This window comes from Homo sapiens, chromosome 1 (assembly GCF_000001405.40).
Source record: "Homo sapiens chromosome 1, GRCh38.p14 Primary Assembly".
NCBI classification, from domain to species: Eukaryota; Metazoa; Chordata; class Mammalia; order Primates; family Hominidae; genus Homo; species Homo sapiens.
Genome location: NC_000001.11, coordinates 245473511 through 245492822, shown reverse-complemented (window position 1 = coordinate 245492822; position 19312 = coordinate 245473511). Strand labels below are relative to the sequence as shown.

Below are 19312 nucleotides of genomic sequence, written 5' to 3'. Positions count from 1 at the left end.
GGCGACAGAGCAAGACTCCATCTCCAAAAATAAAAATAAAAATAAAAGACTTATTTCCTTTGTAACATGACCTGGAAACAAGGTTTTGTAGGAGAAAACCTATAGCCCCACCTACTTTGAACTATGGGAGGCTAATGATATTGACCAAAAATAACTGCAGATACCAAATTGGCTTAGGTCAGTTTGAAAAATGTCCTTTGGTCACAAATTGATGCAAAACTTCGGTGGCCATGGTAGCCTTATTTAGTCTGGCGTGCCGCCTTTGTTTTTCTTTTAAAAATATCATGTGAACTACTGTAATGTTGGCTTTGTTTTAGCCCAATTTACCCACATTCTCTTATTAGCTCTAGTTATACACAAAGAGAAACTGAGGTTATTGAAGGGTCTCCCTAAAGATGACGGTTGATAGTTGAACACTGTATTTAAGAGAACCTCTTCCCTCTCCCCATCAGAAGAAAGCTTATAAAGCTTGTAGATATCATCTTCAACAAAAAGAACGTTAGAGAACCTGAGACTGCTTCAACAAAACACCCAGAGAACCCAGGGAGGCCTCCCAAAGTGGCATTTCTGACCACTCCGAAGGGTTTAAATTGTGTTTTGGGAAAGAGCTGACGCGGCTCAGCCCTTGTCTTCAAGGGTTCAGAGGAACAAGCCCCAAGATGCAGAGAGTACAACAGCATTGCTGCTTGTCCCGCTGTAAAAGCAGACATCAGGAAGGGCCTGGGCACAGAGTATCGTGGAAGCTTCAAACTCTTAAAACTTGGCAGGAACTTAAAGATTTTCTGGCTTGTGTCTCCATTTTACAGTCAGAGAAACTGAGGTGAAGAGAAATTTGGTAACTTAGCCAAGGTTACACAGGAGGTAAGATCTGAAGATCTGACCCGGAATTCAGTTTACCAGATTTTTTTTTTTTCTTTTGAGATTATCTGCTCTGTTGCCCAGGCTAGAGTGCAGTGGAAGGATCCTGGCTCACTGCAACCTCCACCTCCCAGGTTCAAGTGGTTCTCCCACCTCAGCCCCCTGAGTAGCTGGGATTACAGGCACCCGCCACCACGCCTGGGTAATTTTTGTATTTTTAGTAGAGATGGGGTTTCACTATGTTGGCCAGGCTGGTGTCGAGCTCCTGACCTCAGTTGATCCACCCACCTCGGCCTCCCGAAGTGCTGAGATGATAGGCGTGAGACACTGCACCCCAGCCAGTTTACTAGAGTTTTAATCCATTGTCCAGTTTACAGCTCCTCGTTTTCTCTCCTCCATAAGGAGCTCCCAGAGGCCAGTGTTTCCCGCTCAGGCTACGGGAACATTCCCCAAGGTTTACTTTATGATCCAGGCCAAGTTAGGTCAGGATCATGCTGAATCTGGCACAGGAATTTTAGGCCACCTGTGTCCATCCAGCCATCTGAGATATGGCAGAACATCCCAGGCAAGGAAAACAAAAGATCTTTGTATCAGCATAACAGACAACAATGCAGTCAGTAGGGTGGGCTACATGGAATTCTGAAATATTGATATAAAGTTATCTTCTTTTGAGAAGAGAAATACGAAAATACTGATGCCAGCAAGACAAAGCCACTTATATGTAAGCTTTGACCTAAATTTTTTAGGTCCTACATCTCTGGTTGAAATTCATTTCATTCTTTGGATGATATTGGTAGAGAACAAATATGCTGTCTTAAAAAAAAAAGAATAAACAAAATTAAATCTGTTCAGTGATTTCTCATGGGACAAACTCCAATCTCAGCAACAAAATCAAACAGGAAAAAATTCTTCAGTACTGAAGAGGTGGGTATGTGTTCAAATTTTCCATTAAAAAATGAAGCACTGTGAGGCTCTGACTTATTCGCTACTATTACAGATATTTCAAAACACCATTTACCTGCACTGTTTTGATTTCTCCAACCATAAGGAGAGTTAATGTATTTCACAAACACGGAAATCACAAAACACCTGGGATTCTTGATAGACAGGTTCACATACAGCAATAAATGCAACAGAGAACCGTTCTCAGGTATTCTCAAGTATTTTTCAACATACATATCATTTTCTAAGAATTCAGTATTGAGGAAGAAAACAAATCCAAGGTAGAATGAATGGAAAACAGGCACTGCTTTCAATGAGACACTAATATGAAACGGCTGCTTTTTATTAACAAGTAACCCACTGACAGGCTAGACATATGAACATGGACTGCATAATAAAAATGTGTTCTACAGGCCAGGTGCGGTGGCTCACGCCTGTAATTCCAGCACTTTGGGTGGCTGAGGTGGGTGGATCACGAGGTCAGGAGATCGAGACCATCCCAGCCAACATGGTGAAACCCTGTCTCTAGTAAAAATACAAAAAATTAGCTGGACGTGGTGGTGTGCGCCTGTAGTCCCAGGTACTCAAGAGGCTGAGGCAGGAGAATCACTTGAACCCGGGAGGCGGAGGTTGCAGTGAGCCGAGATCGCGCCACTGCACTCCAGCCTGGTGACAGAGCAAGACTCTGTCTCAAAAAAAAAAAAAAAAAAAAAAAATGTTCTACAGAAGCTTGGTTGGTATTGGGTCCATGGAGAAGTCTCTCGTGGATAGTCTGAGAAGAATCTAATATGGGACTAGTAAGTCTAATTTCAACATTCCTCTGTACTGGATCTACCTATCTCAGACATCACAAATCACTCCCAACACTATTTCCTGCCAAGTTCAATACTCAATGGAGAGGCCAGGCAAGTAAGATGAAACTGACTTACTGCTCTGAGGAGTCGAACAAATCTACAAACAGCAGTGCAGTGGTTACAAGTATGGGCTTTGGACGTGGAAAGAACTATGTTTACACACAGCTCAGTCATTTATTAGTGAGCAATGCTTGGGCATGTTCCTTACCTGCCCAGAACTCCTGTTTCTTCCTTCTGTCAAATTGGGATATTAACAATATCTACCTTAAAATGTTTCTGTAAAACTCAGATAATTGGTATAAAGTTCTCAGCAAAGTTCCAAGCACACTGTAAGCACTCAGTAAATGTTAGCTATTATTGTGAATAGTAGAAGAATAAGAATAACATTAGCAATGTCTAAAGAGAAAGTGTTCTGGCCCATATTAATCTAAGCCACATCACATGATACCATGACGCCTTCTACCCAGCAAGTTTACTTCTGCCTTCTCATAACCCTGGACTTTACATATACATAGCCCGACGAGGAATCAGAAATTAAAAATAAATCATTTTTTCTGCATTAAAAAATCACAAACTTAGCTAACACTGAAACTAAATATTTCAAGAAAAAGGCAGTGCTGTGTTTAAAATGTACTATATCTGAATGTCTGGAGAAATGACAGGTTGAGATACTTGCAGACTACCCCAAAGTCACTTTAGCCTCTTGTGTGGCTGACGCCTCTTAGACTTGTACCCCAGGACTTGACTGTGGATTGCATAATTTTAAAAGAAAACGAGCTATAGGAGTTACTTCCAGGAGGTACAAATATCGTTCCTACATTAGCATCAGAAGTCCAGTCCATGTTTATTCATAACTGACATGCAACTGCAATTTAACAAATGAAGCTGCATCCTCTTATCCGCTCCTGAGGGTTGAAAAGGATGTCTGAGTTCTCCTTAGGGTGTTTCAATAAGTTTATTCAAGAAAATGCCAGAAATCCAGAAGGACTGCTTTATGATGAGCGCATTTATAATGATCAGTAAGTGGCCTTTACCTAGATTCTCAGTGAAGAGGTTCAGCTGCCAGACGTGCCGCCAGACTATCCGTTCCATGTCTTGCAGTGATTGGAAGAGATGAGAATTCGCTTTCCTGTCCATGCAAATCCACTGTAAGGGATTCTAGAGTACCGGAGCCTAGAGAGTTCTCTGAGATGGAGGGTGCAGGACATTTGCAAATAAAAGAGCCTGAGGCTTAAGAGTCACTAGAGGAGCTTTAATCTTATCAGCATATTTTGCATCTACCAACTGCAAACCTAGCCTAAGGCATAAAGAATCGAGTCTTGGTCCCTCTGTTATTAAGGACTCACTCACAAAATTAACCTCTTAAAGATCTGCCCTCTGATTTTAGTGTCTGAAATGCAAATGAAGCAGCCCTTCAGTGCCTTGAGATAATTATAATAATCTTCTTAAAGCTAAAATGCTTCACTCAACTCTAAGTCTCCATTACAACCCGGACCCCAGTCTTCAGTTCATCAAAAGCCAGACAGAGGAGGATGGGGCCACGGCAGAGGAGTGATAGCATCTGTGGCTCCGATCTAATTCCAGGGATGGATGTGGACCAGGAGGTGCCTGTCCCCGAGGCAGAGGGGGTAGTTCATTCCCCGGGGGCTGTTTCTTCAGGAACTGCTCAGACGGGAAGTGACAGGTGTCATGGCTCAGTCCCTTGTCCTTCATATCCTCTGAAACAATCCTACCCAGCAAGGAGTGTACGATCTGGGTAGAGTTTTCAGAGAGCATATCTATTGTTAGGTTCTGTTGGAAAAATTCTGGCCGAATGTCAGGTGGGTACAAAGTTGTTGCTGATTTTTTTTTTTCCCCATATGGTTAGAGGATTCTTTTTTAAAGCTAAGGGAGCCTAAAAGTTGCTATCAAAGCAATGAAGACAGTGTACCAGTGGAAAGTCTGGGTTGGCCAGTGTGGTGGCTCACGCTGGTAATCTCAGTGCTTTGGGAGGCCAAGATGGGCAGATGGCTTGAGTCCAGGAGTTTGAAACCAGCCTGTGCAACATAATGAGACCTCCACCTGTACTTAAAAAGATACATGGCCGGGCGTGGCAGCTCATGCCTGTAATCCCAGCACTTTGGCAGGCTGAGGTGGGTGGATCACCTGAGGTCAGAAGTTCGAGACCAACGTGGCCGACTTGGAGAAGCCTCATCTCTACTAAAAATACAAAATTAGCTGGGCATGGTGGCAGGCGCCTATAATCCCAGCTTCTCAGGAGGCTGAGGCAGGAGGATTGCTTGAACCTGGGAGGCAGAGGTTGCAGTGAGCCGATATCGCGCCACTGTACTCCAGCCTGGCGCGTCTGAAATGCAAATGCAAATGAGACAGAGCGAGACTCTTGTCTCAAAAAAAAAAAAAAAAATTAGCTGGATGTGGTGACATGTGCCTGTAGTCCTAGCTACTCGGGAGGCGTAGGTAGGAGAATCACCTGAGCCGAGGTCCAGGCTGCAGTGAGCTGAGATTGTGTCACTGCACTCCAGCCTGGGCAAATGGACTGAGACCCTGTCTCAAAAGAAGAAAAAAAATAGGGTTAGAAGAGAGTTCAGGCCTCAAGACTACCTTTCCTTTAACTCTTTGCCCTTGATTGTGTCAAAGGGTAAGTATGTAGCCAGATTGGCAGAAAGCCCAAAAGCAGACCCTGAAGGCACACTGTGAAGCTTCCACCTGCAGAAGGTCTTGCACTTTTCCAGGCTAGAGTACTGGCCAGCACGTAGGCCCTGTGCTTGGTTGCCTACTCTGCTGTTGCTACATTGACACTTTTAATCATTTTTGAGCTAGAGTCCCTCTGTTTCATTTTGCACTGAGCCCTGCAAATGATATAGTTGGTCCTGGAGATGACATGTTTCTCTTTTAGATACATATGGGCCACCAATCTGTTTAAATCTGTTAAATGTGAAACTGCAAATTCAGATGCAAAAGACCATGTCAGAAAGATGTGGGCATGATCATACTTACAATGACACAAAGAGGTATCACGACACAAGCTACACTGGCAAAACACTTCAAGGGACTCTAACCACCCCCCCCATTCTCAATTCTCCACAATTAGAGACTCATTCCACACATACAGGGAGCCATGAAGGTTTACTATTGGGAGCCACCCCTTGTGACAAACCCGTGCCTCAGGCCCAGGACGTCCGACTTTGGGACAGTTCTATGGACAGGAAGGAAGCTCTGCAAAAGTTTAGTTTCTTTTACAGGCTGTGAGGCCTTGAGCAAGCCACTTATTAAAGCTGAACCACAGCCTGGGCAACACAGCGAGACCCTGTCTCTGCAAAAAGTGGAAACGTTAGCCAGGCATGATGGCATGTGCCTGTGGTTCCAGCTACTTGGGAGACTGAGGCGAGAGGATGGCTTGAGCCTGGGAGGCCGAGGCTGCAGTGAGCTGTGATTGTTGCTACTACACTCCAGCCTGGGTGACAGAGCGAGACCTCGTCCCAAAAAAAAATTTAATTAAAATAAAAAATGTAAAATAAATAATGAAATAAAATAAAGCTGAACCTTCATTTCTTCACCCATAAAGTAATAACTACTTTACTGGATTGCTGTGAGCACTAAATGAGATAATATGTATGAAATTATCTTACGTATTTAAAAGCTCTATAATAACTACTGGATTGCCGTGAGCACTAATGAGATAGTATATATGAAATTATTTTACATATTTAAAAGCTCTCTATAGAAACCATTTATATAGCACTATATGTGATGGTCTCCTCTCTTTTTTTTTTCCTCCCTTAAATTGCCAACTCTATCTTATACTTTGCTGAAACTTCTTCTTTCCTGAAAATGATTTATCAAATTGACAGATGCTTTTCTTCCCTCCTTTGCTCCAAATACGACCCTCGTAAAAAGAGGCAGAAGCCTTTTTCTGGAGTTTCTCACTGATTTCATAAAATGCTTACTGAAGCAGTTTCAGCCCAAATGGACAAAAGGGAACTATTACGAAAGAAGCCTAAAGACTATGTGCTTAAATTAGAACCAACATTGCTTTGCTTTGCCCACATTAACCCTTGAGAAAGCACACTGTTTTCTATTTGTAATCAGGAAATATGGATTTCTTTAAAGCTCCTTTAGGAAAGGTCAGGTCCTGTTTGAAAAGAGGGCTCACTTAAGTAAATGCCAGTATATGTAAGAATAGCAGCTGGAGGACGGGGTTGCCACCACGAAAAATACTCATATTTAACCAGAAGACAAACTGACTATTGACCAAGATGCAAAGTAGTAAGGAATCTTAACTCCTTCCTTCATTTATTTATTCATCACAGCTCTGGAGAAAATGTCAGCATCACTCGTGTGAAAGGGCACCGTGTGCCCTCTGAAAGCCTTGCCCTGCAGGCTCTGGGATCACAGAAAACGGCTACACAGCATCGCCAGTTTATAAGAAGCAGAAGAGTTTTCTCCTAAGGTTACCTTCACATGCAGCATTTAAAAACTTTTGAAGGCCAGGCACGGTGGCTCACGCCTGTAATCCCAGCACTCTGGGAGGCCGAGGCGGGCAGATCACTTGAGGTCAGGAGTCTGAGACCAGCCTGGCCAACATGGCGAAACCCCGTCTCTACTAAAAATACAAAAGTTAGCCAGGAGTGGTGGCAGGCGCCTGTAATCCCAGGTACTTGGGAGGCTGGGGCAGGAGAATCACATGAGCCTGGGAGGTGGAGGTTGCAGTGAGCCGAGATCACGCCATTGCACTCCAGCCTGGGTGACAGAGCGAAACTTTGTCTCAAAAAAAAAAAAAAAATGATGCTAGGAATATAGCATAAAACTTACCATTTTAACCATCTTTAAGTGTATAATTCAGTGGCATTAAGTGCATTCACAATGTCTTGCAACCATCACCACTATCAAGTTCCACAACTTTTTCATATCCCAAACTGAAGCTCTGTACCCATTAAATATTAACTACCCATTCTCCCTCCCCACATCCCCTGGTAATCACTATTTCTGTCTGCATGAATTTGCCTATTCTAGGTCCCCTATTTAAGTGGATTTATATATTATTGGCCTTTTTGTGCCTGGCTTCTTAGTAGAATGTCTTCAAGGTTCATCCATGTTGTAGCATGTGTCAGAATGACATTCCTTTTTCATTGCTGAATAATATTCTATTCCATGTATACCCCACAGTTTGTTTAGCCATCCCTCTGTTGAATACTTGGTCAGTGTTGTGTTTATTTCTATTTCCATTGGGAAAACACACTTAAAATACCAAGATGCCTGCTTGTCTTTTGTTATCCCAGTTAATTCAAAAAAAAGCAACTCTCAGGGGCCCAGTCACAGGCCCTCTCACACAAATCGACTCTCTTGGGAGCTTCTCCTTTGAAGAATTAAAAGAATAATAATAATAATAATAATAATAATATGAAGAAGAAGAAGAAGAAGAGGAAGAGGAGAAGGAGGAGGAGGAAAGAAGAAAGAAGAAGGAGAAGGAGAAGAAGGAGGAGAAGCAGCTCCAAATTGTTGGAACAATCTCCAAATCTGCAATTTGGAACAAAGTCCAAATCTCCAATCTCCAAACAATGCTCCAAAATCTATTTCATTTTGCTGCAAAATTCCTTTAGCAGTTTAATCTGTGAGGCAGTCTAATATTCCAGAGAGGAATCCATCCCAGAAACTACATGGACGAGTGGAGTGCCTGGTCACCATCAAATGTCTTAGAGAAGTTACAGTGTCCAGGGACAGGGTTAGGAGGGGCCTCTGTCAGGCGACCTAGATGGTGAGTCTGACTCCTCACAATCAGGCCCCTTTACTTGCAGTTCAAGGCTTGATGGGAAAGGCAGTTATGTGGCTCCATTGAATGGCTCTTCATCTGCATTTGTAAGAGAACACAGATACATAATGGTGGGACATTTCATTAGCACTTCCTTTGAAGAGATTAAGATTTAGAATACTGCCCAAAGTGAGTTAAAGTGTAACCCAGCATTATTAACACTTATTAAGAGAGGCAAGGCAGAGAGGTCACAGGTAAAGGGAAAGAGAAGATATGAAGGTAAACATCTTTGAGGTGTAAGCAGAAATCAAACCAGAAGAAATAAAAAAATGGCGTGGGATCAGCCCAGGCCTAACAAAGCGTCATTAAAGCAAAGAACTAACAATTCAAGAGAGGGCATTAGAATGAGGAAAAACATAAATGTGGAATGAGGAAACTAACTTACAGATTTTATAAAGACATAAGGAAAAACATAAAGGTGGAATGAGGAAACTCAGATTTTCATAAACACATTTTACTAATACATTACTAAGAGTAGAAAAGAACGAGGAGAAGCCTTCGCTACACTAAAGTAACAGGAAATATGCTTCCCGATTGATTCCCAAGTAGTCGCCCTGTAAGATTAGAGCTTGGAGGTTTCTCTGCCAAACCTGACAAAAATCTGCAAAATGAACGTTCCAGCACTGAGGTGTATTTAGCTTCTCCTTTTAACCTTCTGCTTCCTCTGCTGTTACAAGTTCACTACCCACGCCCTTCATGCATACGTGTGCATTCAACTGCCCACTGGAATGGGACCGTGGGAACATGCACCTGGGCGGACTTGCTCAATGTGTCCCCCCAAAATTAATTAGCAAAATTTCTTGTTAACAACGCAAACTTCATTTCTGCACTTTCCCCGCTCCCCCAACACCAGCTGTTAAGTAGCTATGGTAACACCAGCTGTGGTGAGACTGTGACACTCACAGGCACTGAAGCCAGGTCAGGAAGCACAGAGGTTCAGAGCTGGAGCTCTGGGGTCAGGCAGACCTGGATTGCAACCCCAGCTGGGTGACCTCGGACAGCTCTTTTGACCTCTCTAAGCTTTGTTTTCCTCATCTATGCATGAGGACACTAGCAGAACCCGTGAGGATGAAAATGGTGCACCCAGCACATGCCTTGAGACAAAGCAAATGCTCTATGCATGTTAACTGTGGATCATTATTTTTATTGTGACTGGTTCTGAGACAGCTTCTCCTCACCAGGCTCTTGGATTCCACACTGAACATCAAACACAGGGCACCCATGAAACCCTGTGAGATCTGGAGGGGATGCAAAAGAAGACGACCCAGAGCTTTGTCCGGCACCTGCTTCCCCAACTTCCAAAATAAATGATGCCCAGGAGTGTGAGTCCTGGCATCTGCTGCCTGGGCCTCCTCACACCTGAAGGGGAAGCTTTTTCCAACAGCTTGGACTCAATGTTCTAACACGGAATTGATGAAATGTGGTATTGCCGGAAACTGTGTGTGGCTGCCCGGGATTCATCACACCGCCCTCCCAGATCGTGAGGCTTCAACAACACAGACTACCTGGGTGTCTCCACTGGCTTCTTACAACTGGAAACTCACAGCACATATCTTCCTTAGGGAACGCATTTGCCTCGGGGTGAACCATTCACTGGTAGGAACACTAGTCGTGATCATCAGGCCACACTGGGTAGGAGGGAAGCGGGGAATGTATTCATCGAACCTCCACAGCACATCAGTGAGGTGAGTCCTCCATGGGCCCCTTCCCAACCCTCTCCTACCCAGCTGTGCCCTCGCTTCTTATTTCAAAGGAACATTTCAGGCAGATGGAACATATCACATGCACACAAAGCAGGGTACCCTCGGGCAGCTTTTTCCCCAAGCTCTCAGAAGAGCTTGGTTAATGATGTTTGTATTCAGTCCTTTGTGTTATCATATAAAACAACATGCATTTCTGAATACTCGTCTAGTTCTAATGTTGATTATAAAGGATTACTCATTGGAAGGTCTTACTTAAAAATCAGTGTCTTGACCAGGCATGGTGGCTCATGCCTGTAATCCCAGCACTTTGGGAGGCTGAGGCGGGAGGATCACGAGGTCAGGAGTTCGAGACCACCTTGGACAATATGGTGAAACCCCGTCTACTAAAAATGCAAAAATTAGCCAGGCATGGTGGTGCGCACCTGCAGTCCCAGCTACTAGGAAGGCTGAGGCAGGAGAATGGCTTGAACTCAGGAGGCAGAGGTTGCAGGGAGCCGAGATCGTGCCACTGCACTCCAGCCTGGGTGACAGAGCAAGACTCTGTATCAAAAAATAAGTCAATAAATAAAAAATAAGTGTCTTTCCCCATTGAATTGCCTACCTGACCATCTCCATCTTCAGTCAAATCTCCTAGAATCAAATATGCTCTCTCGTTTGTTATCTTTCTCTTCCTTGGCTCTGGTCTTCATTATCTAGGATGGTAAAAGTACACACAGAGCCAAGAAGAGTCCCTATCGGTTAGACGCTGCTGTGCTACCAGTGAAAGGTAAGACTGGAGCGTGCTGTCAGGTCCAACCAAGGACTGTTCAAAGTGCCAGGGGACATTGATCAAGGTCTGTGGGTGAGATTCCCAGCCCAGAGGCACTAGGGGAATTCTGAAGAAATAAACAAAGCTTAGCACTCAGTAATGATAACATTTGTATTCATCTCTTACAATAATAATCAACGCTTGGCCACATCTGTCCTCACTTGTTGAAAAAGGAAATCTCTTCCTTGTCTTTATGGCGAGTTGACAGGAGGTTTGACACTCCAGGGAAATAAAGAATTCTCAAATATTAGCTTCACGCAAAAAGATCAAAGATGTGGGAACAGGAATAAGCATTACATCTCTCTGCAGTCTGCAGACCTGAGCACTCAGTGATGCTGGATACACATCGAGTTTCCTTGTTTAATGCTGAGTTCCCAACCACCATGCTCCTTTCCCCAGGGGAGCAGTTCAAACACAGAAGCCTGATATTTTATATTGTCCTTTTTACGTTACATTTGAGCACGGGAATGGTTCAGGAGTTCCATTGTTCTCTAGACAGATTGACTGAAACATGGAAACAGAACCTGCAACCATTTGTTGCCAGCTGGGCTGGTGGCTACGGGCATTCTCTGAGCCCAGAGAGGGCCACAGAGCTGTTATGAGGCCCTTTGCCAGTTCTTGTTTATGGAGAAATCCACACAGTAGTAAAGATAAGAGAAAAGCCATTTTGTCTCTGCCATTGGTTTGAAGCAGATGCTTCTTTCTAAAGGACAAATATTCCAAAGATGGCACTTATAGGTGGCATTTTAAATAGGAAAATGCACGCACAACGCACGGCCAGCACAGTGCCTGGCATATTACAAGGACTTCTCATATGGTCATTGTTGCCAAATCTTAAATATAATATAATTGTAGATAAAACACTGTAGAGAGAAATAGGAAGGGAAAGTTTGAATCAACCAACTAATCTGGGTGAACTGCTGTCTGGATCTTGCAGACTCCTTTTCTATAAAATGAGGAAATGGGCCCAGATGACCTCTGTGGTCCCTTTCACTGAGAATATTTAATGATTCTAAGGGTTTCTATCCAAACTTTAAACATTTCTCTCTCTCTTTTTTTTTTTTTTTTAACATTTTAAAAGTATTAGGATTAAACTACTTAGCACTTGGAACACATAAGATAAATAACATCAAGAATCCCAAGTCCTCCACAGAGTGAGAACAATTCAGGTACAGACAGCAGAGTGTGTTTCTAAAAGGAAAGAGTACAAACTCTGCCTGTATACCCGGTCACTCTGCCAGCTCTGACTCTTGGAAAGCATTAGTGCAACACTTCAACTCTTGATGTACTGGTTATACGGTACCAAGCTGGCCTATAACCCACAGAAGCACGAGGGCCTGTTTATGTCACTGAATGCAGAAACCCTCAAACACCTGCTGGAAATCTGCTGAGAATCATGGAACCCCTAAGCTGGCAGAGCACTCAGAGGCCCTAGCCCAGTATGGCAGTCCCTCAGACTGACCCCTGACTGTGGGTCACCCGCTTCCACATGTTATGCCAACAGGCTGGCCCAGGTACCATGCCCAATCCCACCCTGCATGTAGTTCGGCAGTTTTTTTTCTTTCCTCCCCCCCGAGACAGGGTCTTTGTTGCTCAGGCTGGAGTGCAGTGGCACGGTCATGGCTCACTGCAGCCCTGACTTCCCAGGCTCAAGTGATCCTCCCTCATCAGCCTCCCAAGTAGCTCGGACTACAGGTGCATGCTACCACACTAGGCTAGTTTTTTGTTTGTTGTTTGTTTGTTTGTTTGGAGAGACAGGGTCACGCCATGTTGCCCAGGCTGGTCCTAAACTCCTGGGCTCAAGCGATCCACCTGCCTCAGCCTCCCAAAGTGTTGGGATTATAAGTGTGAGCCACTGCACCTGGCCGGGCAGCTTTAATTATTTGAAAGTTTTTTCTTATTTAAGTGGAAATTTGTCTATTTGCAATCCTTATCCACGAATCCTAGTTCTATATAGAGCAACAGAAAAGAAGCCTGTGTCCTTTCAAATATTTGAGTATCCTTTCTACTCTCTCCCCTTGGTCTTCTCCAGGCTGAACTCCCTCAGATTTGCAACTGTTGCTACCTGACGGTTTCTGGACCAGTCAGCATCCCATCTGTCTCTTGTTGTTATTTCTTTCTTTAGATTATTCATTTCTTCTTCTTAATCTGTATGAAGAAAGGATTGTTTTCTATCATCCTCTGACTTTCTATCATCCTTGACTGTCAAACTACATTCTCTGTATGGAAACAATGCAAATTAGCCAAGTTAGGTAAGGTGACTGCTTACTATTTGCAAATGTCTCAACCAAACAACCATTCCTCCTCCTTTACACACTGATCACAAACCAAGGTATACATGGGAGAACAAAAATATAACAACAACAACAAAAAAACTCTGAAAGCATAATCAGAAAAGAGCTAACAAAAAAGACTTCACACGATATTGATGCATATGCCTCTAAGATATTAATACCTGGCTTCTGTAGATATACCCTGGGTGCCTATAGCTCAACCAGGTTGAAATATGTATTTCTGGAGAAGCTTATCTGCGATGTCTGTTTTTAGTGATAACAGGAGCTCACTGTTGGAACTCAATAAATAGAAAAGATTATTACTCTCTGTCAACATTTATGTTGTTTTGTCCTTTGAATAAATGGGAGCCTTAGTGATCTTACTCAGTTACAGGGTTCTAAATGCCATCTAGATGCCAATGATTCCCAAATTTATATCTGCAGCCCAGGCTGCTTCCTGAATTCCAGACTCATCCATCCAGCCCTCTGCTGGACGTCTCCTCTTGATGTCTAGTAGGCATCTCCACCTCGGTGCATTCAGCTGCGCTCCTGATCCCTCAGGACCCCTCCCCATCTCATTTAATGGCAGCTCCATCTTTCCAACAGGTTATGCCAAAATCCTCGGGCTGATTCTCACAACCTTACTTTCTCTCACAGTAATCAAGAATTTTATTGGCTATCTTCAAAATACATCCAGAATCTGTCAACCCCTTCACTGCTCCCACCCTGGTCTGATCCATCACCACTCTCACCCACGTCGCTGCCATCACATCCTGCCTGGTTTCCTTCCTGCTACTCACTGTTCACCCACAGTCGATACCCAACAGGCAGCCAAAGCGACCCTTTTAAAATGCAAGTCAGGGCCGGGCGCGGTGGCTCACGCCTGTCATCCCAGCACTTTGGGAGGCCGATACGGGTGGACCACAAGTCAGGAGATCGAGACCATCCTGGCTAACACGGTGAAACCCCATCTGTACTACAAATATAAAAAATTAGCCAGACGTGGTGTAGTCCCAGCTACTCGGGAGGCTGAGGCAGGAGAATGGCGTGAACCCGGGAGGCGGAGCTTGCAGTGAGCCGAGATCGCGCCACCGCACTCCAGCCTGGGCGACAGAGCAAGACTCCGTCTCAAAAAAAAAAAAAAATGCGAGTCAGATCCTGGTGAAAACACTGCGATGGTTCCCATTTCACACAGGAGAAAAGCAATGCTCAAGTCCTTCCACTCCTCGGCAGACACCCAAGAAAGAAAAACACACCCCCACAGAAACGTGGATATGAACGTTCATCACAGCATCACTCACAACAGCCAAACGTGGGAAAACCCAGATGTCCATCCACTGATGAATGCATCACCAAAAACTGGTCTATCCATACCATGGAATACTAGTCAGACACAGAAAGGAATAGGTGCTAATAATGTTTGTTACAACATGGATGGACTTTGAAACCATTATGTGACGTGAAAGAAAGCAGACACAGAAGTTCACGTATTGTATGATTCCATTAATATGAAATGTCCAGAATAGGCAAGTCCGTAGAGCCAGAATGTTGATGAGTGGGTGCCAGCGGCTGGAAGAGGGACGTGTGTGGGTGTGTGTTTATGGTATAAAGTTTATTTTTGGGGTGAAGAAAATGTTCTGCTTGCACAGTATGATGACTAGACTAAAAACCAGTAAATTATATGCCTCAAAGGGGCAAATATTATGGTATATGAATTACATTTAAATTGTTAAAAAGGCCAAGTACTTACAATGGCCTCCTAGGCCCTATAGACTCTGACCCTCCTGAGACTTCCCCGACTTGCTCTGCTACCATTCGGTCTCTTTTCCAGCCAACCTGGACTCCTTGCTGTTCCTTGAACATGACAGGCCCGCTCTCCCTTCAAACCTTTAACCTTGCTGTTCCCTCTGCTGGGAATGCTTTTCCCTCAGAGATATCCAGACACCTGCTTGGTTCAGCTCCCCCACTTCCTCTATGCCTCTGCCCAAATCTCACCATGTTATGGACCCTGGCTACTCATGCCACCTGCACCATTCCACTTCCGTACCTGCGCTACCTTGTTCTTTTTTCTCCATAGCATTTATCACCTTCCAATCTGCCACAGGATTGACTAACCTACTGTGTTTGTGGTGGATGATCTGTCTCTGCCCCTTCCTATCCCCCACCCCCACCAGGATCTAAGCTGCCTGAAGGCAGGAATCTTCGTCTTGGTTCCCCAGTGTGTCTCAGGTGCCTGGGACAGTGCCCGGCACACAGTGCATGCTTGAAAAGTATTTGCTGAATGCACAAACAAATGAATTTTCTGTCTTGAGCTTCAAAAATATGCTTTCTAAGCCAGGATTTAGAACCAAGTGTTTTTTATTTAGAAAAGAGAAATGGGGCTGAGCTAAGAGGGAGCATCAAGCACAAATGACTAATCCCACATAATTAAAAAATAAGGGTGAAACCAGCTCCAGTTTTGCAGTTTAATTTTTACAAACTAGTAGCCTGCTAAAGTCTTTATTTTGCCAGAAACGTACTGGCTCACTCTTAGAAATATCATCTCCCACACCTGTTTCAGACTTCCACCCTTGACCTCTCCTCTCAAGGTGTAACAATTCTTTCCATCATTCCAGGGACAAGCATTTTTTCTGTTTTTCTCAGACACATCAACACATATGCTCCATTGTCCCTTTGAACTATGGGGGTGCATGTATTGTTTACACCCTGGCTGTTTATTTACTTCTCCATTAACAAAGTATAAAAGGGGTGGCCAGGTGCGGTGGCTCTCGTCTGTAATCCCAGCACTTTGGGAGGCTAAGGCAGGCGGATCACTTGAGCCCAAGAGTTCAGACCAGCCTGGGCAACATGGTGAAACCCCATGTCTACAAAAAATCGCTGGGCATGATGGCATGTGTCTGTGGTCTCAACTACTCGGGAGGCTGAGGTGTGAGCATCACTTGAGCCCGGGAGGTCAAGGCTGCAGTGAGCCAAGGTCACGCCACTGCACTTCAGCCTGGGTGACAGAGCAAGACCCTGTCTCAAGTAAGTAAGTAAGTAAGTAAGTAAATAAATAAATAAATAAATAAATAAATAAATGTGTCTTTTAAGACAGTTTCTTAAAAGCCAAAAACAATATAAATTTGCCCTTCATTGGATTTTAAAATTAATATTGAGATAAAATTCACATAACATAAAGCTCACCATAAGTATACAGCTAAGTGATTTTTCATATATTCACAGAGTTGTGCAATCACTATGCATGTAATGATGTAATCATCATGGAACACGGAATATCTTCCTCACTCACACCCTTTAACACTCACTCCTCGTCTCACTCAACACCCCCAGTTCTAGGCAACCACAAATGTATTTTCTGTCTCTATAGTTTTGCCTATTTTGGACATTTCATATAAACGCAGTTTACTATATGTGGCCTTTTGTATCTGGCTTATTTCAGCTACCAGAACGTTTACAAGGTCCATCCACATGGCAGCATGCATCAGCACTTTATTCCTTTTTGTGGCGAATAACTTTCCATTGTGCAAATACACCACATTGTTTATTCATGCATCAGGGATAGACCTTTGGGTTACTTCCTCCATTTTGGCTATTTTGACTAACGCTGCCATGAACATTCGTGTACTAATGTTTGTGTGGATGTATGTTTTCAGTTCTCTTGGGTATATCCCTAAGAATGGAATTGTTAGATCATTTGGTAACTCTGTGTTTAAGCTTTTGAGGAACAGCCAGACTGTGCCACAGCGGCTGCCCTGTTTTACATTCCCACAAACAACGTATAGACTGTTCCAGCTTCTCCACATCCTCACCAATGCTCAAAATGCCCCCAATGCACGATCTGTCTTTTTGATTATAGTCATCCCAGACGGTTTGAAGTGGCATCTCATTGTGGTTTTTATTTGCATTTTCCTAATGACTAATGATGTTAAGCATCTTTTCGTGTGCTTATTGGCCACCGGTATATGATTGGAGAAATATCAAATGCATGATTTGTAAATATTTTCTCCCATTCCTCTGATTTATTTGTAAGAGATGGAGTCTGGCTCTGTCGCCCAGGCTGGAATGCACTGGTGCAATCATAACCTTGCAATGATTTTTTTTCCCGCCTATCCAATGACCTTCTGACCCCCAACCAGGACCCGCCTCAGAATGTCTAGTGGTGCCGCAGGCTGTCCCCATTGTAAACAATGGAACCCTACAGTTTCCTCCTCACTTGTTACTCAACCAAGTCTTCGCTCAGTAGAGCTGAGGCCTGAAAACCTTCCAAGAAGCATGTACAAGTATGACCTCATTCCGATTCAGTGGCAAGGAGGCAGCCGGTGTTGGGTCAACTGTCTGAGCAGCTCAGTCTAAAAGGCAGAGATGGCCACAGTCTCCACAAAACCCAGCAGATGGGTGCTCCAGTGCCAATCAAAAGATTGTCAGTGAGTGATAAGGATATACGGACAGAGCTGTTTGTCAGAGTTTTTCATTCTGAATGGGCATATTGGTAGCACTCTACTCAATGAAAATATTGCTATTCACAGTAGTTTACAAGTTGTCATTTATATGAGCAGTGAAAACCTTTCATACCCCCAATTTTTTTTTGTTTGTTTTACAAAATATATTCCAATGAGAGAAGAGCTGTACAACATGCATGGAACTAGAGGTCATTATGGGAAGTGAAATGAACCAGGCACAGAAAGACAAATATCACACGTTCTCACTCATATTTGGGAACTAAACAAGTGGAGTTGGTGAAGACAGAGAGTAGATGGGTGGTTACCAGAGGCTGGGATGGGCAGCGGGGATGGGAGACGAAGAGAAGTTGTTTAGTGGGTACAAGTATACAGTGTGCTAGAAGAAATAAGACCCAGTGTTTGAGGCTGCGTGCGGTGGCTCACGTCTGTAATCCCAGCACTTTGGGAGGCCAAGGCAGGCGGATCACCTGAAGTCAGGAGTTCAAGACCAGCCTGGCCAACATGGTGAAACCCCATCTCTACTAAAAATGCAAAAAATAAGCCAGGCATGATGGCGCATGCCTGTAATTCCAGCTACTCGGGAGGCTGAGGCAGGAGAATCACTGGAACCAGGGAGGTGGAGGTTGCAGTGAGCCAAGATCGCACCATTGCACTCCAGCCCAGGCGACAGAGTGAGACTCCAAAAAAAAAAAAACAACAACAAAAAAAAGCCAGGAGCAGTGGCTCACGCCTGTAATCCCAGCACTTTGGGAGGCTGAGGCAGGTGGATCACGAGGTCAGGAGATCAAGACCATCTTGGCTAATGTGGTGAAACCCCATCTCTACTAAAAATACAAAAAATTAGCCAGATGTGGTGGCGGGCACCTGTAGTCCCAGCCACTCGGGAGGCTGAGGCAGGAGAATGACTTGAACCCGGGAGGCAGAGGTTGCAGTGAGCTGAGATCATGCCACTGCACTCCAGACTGGGTGACAGGGCGAGACTCCATCTCAAAAAAAAAAAAAAAAGGACCTACTGTTTGACAGATCAGTAGGTGACTACAGTTTACAATAATCTATTGTATATTTCAAAATAGCTAGAACAGAAGAACTCAAATGTTTCTAGCATAAAGAAAGGGGAAATATTTAAGGTAATGGGTATCCCAATGACACCAATTGGATCTTTACAATGATATGAACGTATTAAATTATCACATGCACCCCCAAAATATGTACCTCTATTATGTATCAATAAAAAAACCGAGAGAGCAGAGCTGCACTGAGGAGGAGCCACTGACGGGCCCCTGGCCCTTTGCAGGGATTCCTGTTCTCTTGAGCTGGGCAACCCCGGCCCCTCCTTGGAACATAGTCTGAAAAGCAGTTATTGACTTGGAAATTCACTGTGATAAAATTGGTTGTATAATCCTATTTGTTGTAAAACCTATGAAAGTATTTCAAGTATATTTTTGAAAGTATTTAGAGCTATATACCAAGATCATAATAACAGTTGCGGGCACTGAGTGGTTCTTTTGCTTGCTTTCGTTTCCTTCTTCCTTTCTCCCCCAACCCCCATTAAGAATGGGATGAATTGTGTCATTTAAAAAGCAAGTGAGTGAAAGAGAAAGGCAG

At 43.9% G+C, this 19312-nt stretch overlaps 1 protein-coding gene across 1 annotated transcript in view, besides 1 other annotated feature; it reads right to left on the bottom strand.

The window, feature by feature from the left end:
- Window positions 1-19312, bottom strand: part of KIF26B (kinesin family member 26B) — a 554448-nt gene that overhangs the window by 216610 nt on the left and 318526 nt on the right. The window lies entirely within an intron of this gene.
- Window positions 8147-8910: an enhancer, noted in NCBI's record as "OCT4-NANOG-H3K4me1 hESC enhancer chr1:245647215-245647978 (GRCh37/hg19 assembly coordinates)". NCBI's record gives its function as "activates a minimal SCP1, AML or CMV promoter by ChIP-STARR-seq in naive H9 embryonic stem cells {active_cell/tissue: H9 hESC(naive)}" and the evidence as "EXISTENCE:reporter gene assay evidence [ECO:0000049][PMID:30033119]".